The sequence below is a fragment of the Homo sapiens genome, chromosome 21 (genome assembly GCF_000001405.40).
Source record: "Homo sapiens chromosome 21, GRCh38.p14 Primary Assembly".
NCBI classification, from domain to species: domain Eukaryota; kingdom Metazoa; phylum Chordata; class Mammalia; order Primates; family Hominidae; genus Homo; species Homo sapiens.
Genome location: NC_000021.9, coordinates 9,901,605 through 9,914,321, shown reverse-complemented (window position 1 = coordinate 9,914,321; position 12,717 = coordinate 9,901,605). Strand labels below are relative to the sequence as shown.

The 12,717-nt window shown below is 34.4% G+C and overlaps 2 pseudogenes; one reads left to right on the top strand and one right to left on the bottom strand.

Annotated features, from left to right (window-relative positions):
- Positions 1–6,311: 6,311 nt before the first annotated feature.
- LOC124900471 (uncharacterized) lies at positions 6,312–6,406 on the bottom strand (annotated as a pseudogene).
- On the top strand, positions 11,695–11,978 carry RN7SL52P (RNA, 7SL, cytoplasmic 52, pseudogene; annotated as a pseudogene).

Sequence of the window (12,717 nt, the reverse complement as noted above, 5' to 3'; positions counted from 1 at the left end):
TACAGCATGGCTCAGGGCCTCAGGCATATAAAGTCAGTCGTTCACCATAAACCCAAGGCCTCAGATATACAAAAACACTCTTCACGGTAAGACTATTTCCAGAACTCAGAGGCTAGCTAGTCCTAAAAACAAACCTTACCTTTGAATGTGCAGGGTTGAAGAAACCCTGGCCTGCTGAGTTAACACATTCTTGCCTAATCCATATTTATTGTCCCTGGTCTAATCTCTCCTGTAGCAAAACAATCATATTTTTCTGAGCATCTACATTGAATATGGCATTTATATGACAGTAACAACAGTAATATTAACATGAATATGCCTAGCATTTTATGGACACAGTGTAGGGTAAAGATTGATTTTTAAAAATTACTAATGCATCCTACAAGGCCATTACATACACTTTAATATTTTGTACAAATGAAATTACTCATTCTTCCTCTCAATCTGCTTTTATTTTTACTTTTTGATAAATCTGTGCAGAACTATTTAGCATTGAAATTAGATAATGGTTAGCTAAATTCTGTTTTCTCAGGCCATTTATTATTCACCCAGATTACATTCTGAAGAGGCTTTAACTCAATATCTAATACATTTGATTATCAATATAAGCATTATATAACTTCTCTACATAAGATAGTTGAATCTTACCAACAATGCTAGTGTAATGTCATATTGCAGTATGATCATGTTACAATTCAGTTTTATTACAGAAAAAGTTATTATGAATGATAGAGCTATTTGTTACAGCTACTCAACATAATTGGTTCTTGTCTTTATACCGTATAGTATTATAAATAAGTGTTATTACTACTCACCATGATTTGATTATTTCTGGGTTTCTAATGGGTTGTGGACTTAGCCAGTCACCCTGTCTCAGTTCACAGGCCCTAATTGACAGTGGTCTCTACTATATGCTGTCATACACCAGGATACACTCCCTTCCTATAGACAAGACACAAGAATAAGAATAGTTTATATCTCTGCTACCTGTACTACGGGATGTCTTAGCCTTATCTATTCTTGGGGCAATGGCAATAACAATGAATTAATATAAATTATGAGTGACCTCAGAGATGGGGTCCCTAAGATTATATAAATGTGTCCTTCTGCATCTAAGAAGAACCATTGCCCTATGGTTATTTAGGCCTCCATCTGCGTTAAAGTGATAAAGTGATGCTATTCAGTCATAATACAAGCTCATTACCAGTGTTGGGTCCTAGCATTATCCATCATTAATTGTTGAGTCTACCTTACCAAGTTCACTAAAACTTCATCATTTTTTCCAGGTTGAATCCCATCCCTTCCTCTCTCATAGATGAGAATTCCCTCTAATCTATTTATTTTAGTTAATAAATCTTCTTTCCATAAAAGCCATTCATGATTAAAAATGAATTCAGCTTTTCTCACAATGCCTAGATCAGCATCTATCTCCCTGAAGGTTTTTTTCTGTTTGTAGGCCAATGCTTAACCCAAGATGGTTGTTGTCATTGTGTACTAGATTTAACTGGAATGAGGAACCATGTTTTACACTCCAGACTGTTTGGTTCTCAGTATGAGGATAAAAATAAGAAAAAACAAAACAACAAACAAACAACAACAAAAAACAAGAGTTCTCTAAAATTTTCGAGAAACAGAAGAGGAAGAAATGCTTCTCAATTCATTTTATGAAGCAAGCATGACACTTAAACAGAAGACAAAGATGATAAAAAAAAGAAAAGGAAAACAAACAAACAAACAAAACTTTAGACCAACATAACCTAGATGCAGATCTACAAATATACCCTAGATGCAAAATCCTCAACAACTTGAATATGACACTATGTAAAAAAGTGACACATGACCAAGCCATGTTTATTCCAGAAATGCAAGACAGTTGCAATATTTTAAAAAATCTAATAATATAATTCATCATATTAATATTCTAAAATAGGAAAATGCATGATCATTTCAATAAATGCAGGGGAAAAAGACACTATTCAACAGTTACTTCTGATAAAAATTCAGCAAACCAGAAATAGCAGAAAATTCCTTCATCTTGATAAAGAGCATACAAAAAATCCATCATATTTAGCTGTGAAACACTGAATGTTTTCCACATGTATGCTCAGGAATAAAGCAAAGATGTTTGCTTTTATCACTCTTTTTCAACATAATACTTAGAGTTCTATCCAGTGCGTAAGGAAAAAAAGGAAGAATAAAATAAATGCAGACTGGAAAGAAATAAGTAAAACTGTTCCTATTTGTAAATAATATGATTATATATGTAGAAATTTATACAGCATTTAGGAGAGAGAAGGAATGTAGAAAAGGGAGAGGAATGGGGAGGCAAAAACAAAGGGGAAGGAGAAAGTAAAAGAACAGTGGAAGGAGAAGCAGTGTCTCATAAAATTAAGAAGGATTTAGCAAGATTAGGACAAAAGGTAAAAACAGGTTTCCTGATATTTTTAATTGCATTTCAATAGCTTTCCAAACATAAATATTTCTCAGGTAGTTGAATGCTTTGGTCAATTTCAAGAGTGATGGAAGGCTGTTTTAATGAATTTCTAGTGGCCTTTTTGTAGAGGATTTGCTGGTCTTTTCAAGTGACCATAGTCCACATTGATGGGTAGATTGAATATGGAAACCATCTTGAACTCCCAAGATAAATGCCAATTAGTAATGATATATTTTACAAACACACGTGCATGCACACACATACACACACAGACATGAGAGGATTTAATTGGATAATATTTTGCTGAAGTTTTTGAAATTTAAATTCATCATCTAAATACATATTTGTCTACAGGACATTTTCTTGTAATGTCTTTTTTATGGTTTTGGTATGGGGATAATGGTAGACTCATAAAACATGTTGAAAAGTGTTTCCTCTTTTTTATTTCTTAAACTTTTGTGTAAAGTATAAATTATATCTCCTTAAATATTAGTAAAATTTGTCAGTTCATTTATCTAGGTGGGTATTAATAAATTTAAAACATATATATAGGGATGTTCATGTTATTGCTTTCTTTTTGAGCTTGCCTTAGTCGTTTGTATCTTTTGAGGGATTTATACACTTAATCTAAATTAACTAATTTACATTTATAAATTTCATCATGGTATTCATTTAGTTATCCTTAAACTGTTGTAGGACAATGGAAATGTTACTTCTATCATTCTTTTTTTTTTGTTTATTTGTTTTGAGACAGAGTCCCGTTCTGTCGCCCGGGCTTGAGTGCAGTGGCCTGATCTCTACTCACTGCAAATTCCACCTCTCAGCTTCAAGCAATTCTTGTGCCTCAGCCTCCCGAGTAGCTGGGAATACAAGCATGCGCCATCACGCTCTGCTAATTTTTGTATTTTTAGTAGAGACAGGGTTTCACTATGTTGGCCAGGCTGGTCTGGAACTCCTGACCTCAAACGATCCGCCTGCCTCGGCCTCCCAAAGTGCTGGCATTACAGGCATGAGCCACCACCCCCAGCCACTTCTATCATTCTTAAAATTTGTCAATTATTTATTTCCTATTATTTTCTCCTTAGTCTGGCCAGAGATTTAACAATTTTATTGATCCTTCAAAGATCTAAATTTAGTTTAATTTACTTAGCTATATAATTTTTCTCTGTTTAATGTTGTTTATTTCTTCATTAACCTTTATTATTTTCTTCTTTCTGATTGCTTCAGAATTAATTTGTTCTCATTTTTATAATAACAAGTGGGAAGCTTTCATCATAATTTCAAGGTAATTTTTCTTTTCTAATGCAAGCTCTTAATGGGATAGATTTTTCCCTAAACACAGAAATTTCCACATTTTGATATGTTATACTTTTTTAAATTTCTCTTACTTTTGGCTAGGTTCATGTTTAAATATACATATGTGCAAGAATATTTTCCCTTGATTTATATGGATTTAGAGGTTAAAAAAAGGCAAAAAAATTATTTTGGAAATTTCTAGGAGACTTAGTTCACCATCATTGTTACATAATTGTGCATATGTTGCAAGTAATGTATTAAGAAAAGTATTTATATCTGTATACATGTTTGGTCCTTAATGATGAAATTAATGCACAGTTGTCTAACTATAATAATTTCCTTATAATCACACTAGTTTTCCTTTGGTGCCACAAGATGATGAATCTCACTTTAGTGTGACCAAGCAAAATGAGGTACAAAAACAGTCCAATCAATGTGAAAATATCTCAAATTCATATGAATTTTAAAAATATTTTATATGTAAATTAAATTAGAAATTAAATATATATAATATATTTTATTTCAGAAGTATTTGCTTGCCTTTTGGAACTCAAAGTTCAAAACCTTCTATTGTCATCTTTAAATAACTAATTTTTAAGTTAATTTCTAGTTGGTCCTATGAAAATACTACCACACAATGTGGAGATAAAGAAAACATTTACAGAAAAATTGTCCATATGGACACATTTTAAACAGATGATCTAATTAGCATAACAGCCACCAAACTGGTAAATAAACAGTTTTGTTTATTTGCTGCTTAATCAGCATCCATTCAGAATTCTGTAATATTGTTTAGTAAAACAGTTTATTTCCATCCATAAATGTATTTTATAAATTTATGCCCAGTAAACTTCCAGGTAAACCATCGAAATATTAACTGTTTTCTAAAAGTGATGGTCTTTTTTTTTAAGCTGCTTTCTATAGTGAATTGATGAAAGTTAATGAAGATTAAAATGCTTATTCTATAATAAAAGCCAATGCCGGCATGCTGATATATAATCTCTATAGATCAAAAAATATTCATGCCTTATTCTCAGATTTTTAATAGTGGCTCTAAGCAGTCTTAAAAATTTATTATTTAGACACCTTATCCTATATTTTAAAAATATTTTCTTAGTATACTGTGGATGTTATACAAGTCATATAATGGATAGAGAATTTCTTACATAAATTTACAATATAATTTTTTTAAATAAAACTTTTGTGAAATTATTTTCAAATGTTATAAATGTTAATGAGTTTTGTTATATTGGTTCCAATATTTCTCATATATGGAAAATGTCATTTTCCCTGGGAATTAATATTTGGAGCTGGTGTTTAAGAAAAACCATGTTTGATGTTGGAAAATGCTATGTCCGGTATAACTATAGATGTTTGGAAAGCAGCTCAGTTATGCTAAAGATAAAGAAAGGAGAGAAAAATGACAGAAGGGGAGGTTTGAACAAAACAAAATAATACCTGAAAATGTTGAATGGATATGTAATATTTGTGAATGTTTATGTTCTCTATTTCACCATTATTTAAACATTTATATTTTCAAAGGGAGACAATAATTATATTTTGAAATCATTTTGTTTTTTTATAGAGTGCTGTATTTTTTCTTTTCAATTTCAATTTGGTGAGCAAACAAAATCAGTCAGATTATTATACATAATTAGGTTTCCTTTTTGAGATTTGTTGAAACTCTTTATCCTTTATGTATGTATTTCAAGTAGTATAATAAAAAAGAAATATAAAATGATTAGATATACATAAAAGTATTGTAGATTATGTTTTTCATATTTTCTTTCTTTTAATGTATTTTGCAGATATACCCATTCCAGATTATGATTTCACAAACTAAGATGACTCTCAGCAGGGAATCGTTACTGCATGTCGTTTTCATCAAAGGGAGCTTAGTTTATTTGCCTATCTGAATATTGACATTATATTACTAATTTACACATTGGGGAAAGGGTCAAGAGAACTCCAAATTTTTGTTGACTTGATATTAACCTGAAAGGGGAATGTTAATAACTGACAAAATATATCCACAGTAGTTAGACATCAAGTTGTGTTTGTTTTTTTAATCTACTTCATATTATTGAATTATTTAGATAGATGATAGATAGATAGATAGATAGATAGATAGATAGATAGATAGATGATAGATAGATAGATTTATTAGATGTACAGGAAATAAAATTCACTGGTGGGCATGTGTAAAGAGGGGGCAGCTCTTTTCTAATGCAGGGCTAGCTGCTTGTCCAGGGGCCCATGATTCCAGGGCTATATTTGGCCCCACAGCCATCCAGGATGAGTTGTTTCTCAGCCACCAAGTCTTAAAATGTATATGCATTAAACTTAGTAAAATCGCACTTCTTTGAGATGTGGCTTTTTGGGCATTCACTGAACTTGAATTTGGCCCTAAATAAGGCCTCAATCACATGCTCCAGGGTTTGCAGCTTGGTATGGATGAACATGGCCAACGTGAACTCTGACCTCTGGGTCCTGAGGCTTTCCAAAGGCATACTACATCCAGTCTTAAACCTAGACTAGGGAAAGCACTAGATCCAAGACATAAATGTCCAATGGCAAAGGCTGTTGTACACAAGGAACAGGCTGCTGTACACTACCTAGGATGCTGCTGTTTGCAGCCCTTGCACACCAGGTCCCATGTGGCTTAATTGATTGTAGAAATTATTTTATATATTAAGTTTTTGGGGATTCGTATCTTTTATTCAGGATAGCTAAATGCAATTTATATTAGACCATATACAGTAAGTTGTAAATTATAGAAGTTGTGCTTATCAAAATCATATTCAGTGGGCAATATGGCCTTTAATATAATGAAGTTTATTGATAAAAATTAAAATAAAATAATGTGGTTTTGTAGTGCTCTTGTATGTTAACTAAAACAAATTAATAAAACCTATTGAAACCCATAATCATTTAGACTATCTACTTACACTTTGGGAGGCCAAGGTGGGCAGATCACCTGAGGTCAGGAGTTCAAGACGAGCCTGGCCAACATAATGACATCCCATCTTTACTAAAAACACAAAAATTAAACAGGCATGGTGGTGCATGCCTGTAATTTCAGCTACTCAGGAGGCTGAGGCAGGGAGAACTGCTTGAACTTGGGAAGGGGAGGTTACAGTGAGCCAAGACTGGGCCACTGAACTCCAACCTGGGCGACAGAGGGAGACTCCATCTCAAAAACAAACAAACAAACAAAAACACAACAAAAAAACTATCTACTTAAATACCATTCTAGTAAAATAAATATTTTTCTGTGATCTTAGGTTTGTTTTGTCTCAATAATATAAATAGTGTATTGGTTGTCTCAAAGTGTTAAATGGAAGCATATTTTATGGCATTGCTGAAATATCTACCAACTTTTCTTACTCTAAGTTATGCAATGGTGCATTGATTAATGCACTGGAACTTGTTAAGCAGTTTGCATGTCTGAAAAACCAAGGTTCAGAGGTATGTAGGTTAAATCTGGCAATCAAATATCAGAGAGATATTTCAGAATATTATTTTTGTATACCAGAAAACACTTTTCAAAAAAAAAAAAAAAGTAAGGTCATTAGGAAGGCATTGTAAAGTTAATCTTTTCCAGCAAAGCTATTACATTTATTTTTCTGGAGTTCTTTAGTTATAAAAAGTAGAATGTAGTTATAGGATCTAGTCAGCGTTAAATTGATTGAAAAAATGAAAAACACTGTTTCATTTTTAAATAGATTAACAATTAAGCAAGTTGTTTATGTTGTCCCACTGATATACTAGAATATGCTACATTCTTTTGGGCATCTTTTAGACCATAGGGCTAAAATGTTGAGAATGACAGAGAGACAATTAGGAGCTCAGCACAAAGCAAAATGTTATGAATCAGGAAAATAAATAGAACAGAGATCAAAATTAGATAGATGCAGAATTGGAATGATACTGAAAACAAGAGATGGAACTGCAGAAAATACTATGGCAGATCATTCATTCCTTTGAATGGTGAAAGTAGTTAATACAATGGCTAACAATTGAAATGAAAAACCAGACCCAGATGAAAAAATGCAAACCAGTAAACTTACCTAGTCCTATTATTTTACTCAATTGTAGGAAATACATGAAAAAAAAGTTGTTCATTATGAATCCTTTTTTCTGACATGGGAAGAAGGCACCACTAAAACTTTCTCATTTTTTTACTCAAATGTTTGTGTTTTCTCATAGAACTTATAATTTTAATTTATTTTTCAATATATGTTTCCCATACAGTCTAGTTAGATTCATAGTTGCAATGTTTCATGTGGTATATTTGCTCCCTATGGAATAGAACATAACATTAATCTTTAGATGTGTCACTAGAGAGATTTGTATATATCCACATAAATCTACAGTTGCAACTAGAAAAATTATCCTGTGAAAATTTTGTGATATGAATGTCTTTCAACTTTTTAAAAAGTAAAGAGAAAATGATGAACAAATATGAGTTGGAAATCAGAATGAAGAAATCATGAAAATATAGTGTACCCCTTCAAAAATTTTGAAAATTAAGAGAAATCGGTAGAACAGCTGTATTATCATTTACAAAAATGTTTCTCTACCTATAGAACAAACAATTACTTTGTCCTCTAATTTCCAAATAACTTACAGAACATTTATTTTCTACTGTCACTGGAATGGCAGGCTGGCAGGCTGAGTTGGTAGCCCAATTGGTTCCTCACATCAAAAGATTCCCTTTATTATTTCCTTATTTTCTCTTTAATTCTGGCACTCCTTCATGATTGAACTTACAGATGTTCTTTTGTCTGCTAATTTTCGAGTAAGCCTGTGCTCTCTATAACTTTCAGTCTCAATATCCTTCTACCATCAGCCTTTTGTCTAAACATTCTTATTCTGGTTTGTTTCCCTGAACTCTTGACATCAATCTCTGTTCCTTCAATATTCTGTTTCTTCTACTGGAAGCACTCTTTCCCAGATTTCACCCACTTTACTCTTCTCAATCTCTGTGTCTGAGTTAAATGCTTCCTTAGGTTTCTATGTAGGATTGTCTGTCCATCTGTAATTTTTCTATATCTCTCATGTTAACATAGTTACATCCTTTACTGAAAAATGTCTCCTTTAAAAAAAATCAATGTGTTTGTTTACTTTATTAAAATGCCCTCTAAACTGCAAGGTCAAAGAAGGTAAGTATGATATTTGGATATTAATATCTACCACTTAATACAGAAACTATTCTAGCACTTGTATAGGCAGTATAAGACATAATTTTAGAACTCTAAAATAAAAACTCATAAACTGAAGTTAAATATCCATTTCCCACTGCTATCTCCTTTTCCTTTTAACACATTGATATCATTTGGATCTGTGTCCCCACCCAAATCTCATGTCAAACTGTAAGTCCCACTGTTGGAGGTGGGGCCTGTTGGGAGGCAATTGGATCATCGGGCAGTTTCTCTTAAATGGTTTAGCACCATCTCCTTGGAGCTGTTCTTGTGACAGTGAGTGAGTTATTGTGAGTCTGGTTGTTAAAAGTGTATAGCACCTCCCCACCTCTCACTCTTCTTCCTGCTTCCAGCCATGTGAAGTGCTGGCTCCCCCTTCACCTTCTGCCATGATTGTTAGCTTACTGAGGCCCCTGCAGAAGCCCAGCAGATGCATCATGCTTTCTGTATAACGTGCAGAACCATGAGCCAATTAAACTGCTTTTCTTTATAAATTACCCAGTCTCAGGTATTTCTTTAGAGCAATGTAAGAAAGGACTAATATAGAAAATTGGTAGAGGAATATGATATTGTTGTAAACATACCGGAAAATGTGAAAGTGGCTTTGAAACTGGATAGTGGGCAGAGATTGGAAGGGTTTGGAGATATCAGAAGAAGACAGGAAGATGAGGGCAAGTTTTGAACTTACTAGAGTCTTGTTACATTGTTGTGACCAAGCTACTGATAGAGACACACAATGAAGTCCAGGCTGAGGAGGTCTCAGATGGAGATAAGGAACTTAATGGGAACTGGAGCAAAGGTCACTTTAGTTAGGCATTAGCAAAAAGGTTGGCTGCACTGTGCGCCTGCCCTAGGGATCTGTGGAATTTTGAACTTGAGAGTATCTCAAGTTCTGGTGGGTATCTGGTGGAAAAAATTTCTAAGCAGCAAAGCATTCAGGAGGTAATCTCACTACTTCTAACAAACTATTTTGATGTGTGTGAGCAAAGAAATGACCTCAAACTGAAACTTATATTTAGAAGGGAAGCAGAGTGTAGAAACTTGAAAAATTTGCAGCCTGGCCATGTGGTAGAACAAAAAGCCCATTTTCAGGAAAGAAATTCAAGCAAGCTGCAGAAACTTGCTTAACTAAAAGGAAGGCAAATGCTGATAGCCAAGAAAATGAGGGATACCCTCCAGGGCATTTCAGAGACCTTTGTGGCAGCTCCTCCCATCACAGGCTCAGAGGACAACGAAGGAAGAATGGGACACTACTACATGCATCTCATCTGTTGCAGCTCTAGCCATGGCTCCAAGTGGCCCAGGTACAGTTCAGGATGCTGCTCCAGAGGGTTCAAGCCATAAGTCTTGATGGCTTCCATGTGGCATTAAGCCTGAGGGTGCACAGAGTACAAGAGTTGAGACTAGATTTCAGAGAATGTATGAACAAACGTAGATGTACAATCAGAAATCTGCTGCAGGGTCAGAGCCCTGATGGAGAATCTCTATGAGGGCACTGAAGAGGGGAAAGGTGGGGTTGGAGCCACCACACAGTGTCCCTACTGGACAACTATCTAGGGGAGCTATGAGAAGACGGACACTATCTTCCAGACCCCAGAATGGTAGATCCACCAGCACTTGTACCGTGTGCCTGGAACTGGTGCAAGCACTCAACACCAGCCCTTGAGAGCAGCTGTAGGAGCTGAACCCTGCAAAGTCACAGGAGTGGAGCAGCACAAGGCTTTGGGAGCTCAATCCTTGCAGTGGTATGCCCTGGATGGCATCAAAGGAGATTGTTAAGCTTTAAGACTTAATAACTTTCCTACTGGGTTTCAGACTTGCATGGGGCCCGTAGCCCCTTACTTTTGGCCAATTTCTCCCTTTTGAAATGGGAGTATTTACCCAATCCCTGTACCCCCATTATACATTATATCTTGGGAGTTTTTTTTTATTTTAATTTTACAGGGTCTTAGGCAGAAGGGGCTTGCCTCATCTCAGATAAGACTTTAGACTTTGGATGTTTGAGTTAATGCTGAAGTGAGTTAAGACTTTGGGGGACTGATGGGAAGGCATGATTATATTTTGCAAACTGAGAAAGACATAAAATTTGGGAGGGACTAGGGCAAAATAATATGGTTTGGATCTATGTCCCCAACCAAATCTCATGTCAAATTGTAATACCCAGTGTTGGAGGTGGGGCCTGATGGGAGGTTATTGGATTGTGGAGTGGTTTCTTTTTAATGGTTTAATACCATTTCCTTGGTGCTATTCTTATGATAGTGAGTGAGTGAGTTATTAGGAAATCTGGTTGTTAAAAGGGTGTAGCACCTCCCCACCTCTCACTTTTCTTCCTGCTCCCAGCTATATGAAGCACCAGCTCCCTCTTCATTTTCCCACCATGGTTATACATTTCATGAGGCCTCCCCAGATGCCCGGCAGATGCAACATTCTTTCTGTACAGCATGCAGAACTGTGAGTCAGTTAGACCTCTTTTCTTTATAAATTACCCAATCTCAGGTATTTCTTTATAGCAATGCAATAATGGACTAATACACACCTAATAATATTATTTCCTTGAATCACACAATCAATTACCAAAATCCTCTGTGTGAAATGGCTGGCTTCCTTTTATTGGTGGTTAACTGCTAATTAAACAACACTTTTGGCGTTTCAATTTTGTTGTTATTATTGTTCAAAGCTTGTACAAAGCCTCCATCAAGTAGTGCAATTCTCCAGCTTCTGTCACTCCTGGACAACATTTGTATTTAAAAATACCTTTCAGCCAGGTGACACACACCTGTTGTCCCAGCTACTCAGGATGCTGAGGCGGGAGGAACACTTGAGCCCAGGAGTTCTGGGTTGTATGCACTATGCTGATGAAGTGTCTGCACTAAGTTTGGCATCAATATGTTAGCTTCCAGGGAGCAGAGGACCACCAGGTTTCCTAAGGAGTGGTCAACTCAAAAATTGAGCAGAATAAAACTCCTCTGCTTATCAGTAGTGGGATGACCCCTTTGAATAGTCACTGCACTACAACCTGGGCCACATAGTGAGACCCTATTTCTTAACAAAAAAAAGAAAGAAATACCTTCCATATTTCTGCAAGTATGTGAGTTATCTTTGATGTAGTGTTACCTTTTCGCAGTGAATGAAGTGTAATAACCTCTTGCTCATTTTGTTTACAAAAATAAATAAATAAATAAAAGCAGGGACATTCTAAGTGGAATCAAGTTCTAAGTAATCCAGACATAATACTATTTATAGAATAATTCAATTTTTATGATATATTTCATGTTTTGCTATCCTCAGTTATATTTACTCACATATAGTTACACTTGTCAATGTCCTAGCTATAATCACCTATTTTTAGATTTTAATAAATATAATTAAATTAATAGCATTTCTATTTTTATAACAAGTTCTAAAATTAAGCCACAGTTGAAAATTCATGATAAGATTAAGTTTGATTTTTATTTCACTTTTATATGTATGAATCTTAAGAATTTGGTATTTCCTATCTAATATTTGTCTTTCTGTTCTTGGAAACTAATTTCAAATTATTTACAAGTTTCAGAAGTATGCACCCAGTGAAGAATCCAATATCATTTTGTTCAATATACCTATAATTTGAACTTAAATATGTATACTTCCACAAATGTCACTGAAGCAAGTATTTCAAGTATTTATTTCCAGGTATAATTTCAATTATGGGGTATTCAGATATCTTGTTATATCAACAACTAAACATAACATATTAAATTATTTGAGATATAAAAAGTATATCTTGAAAACAGTGCAGTTCTA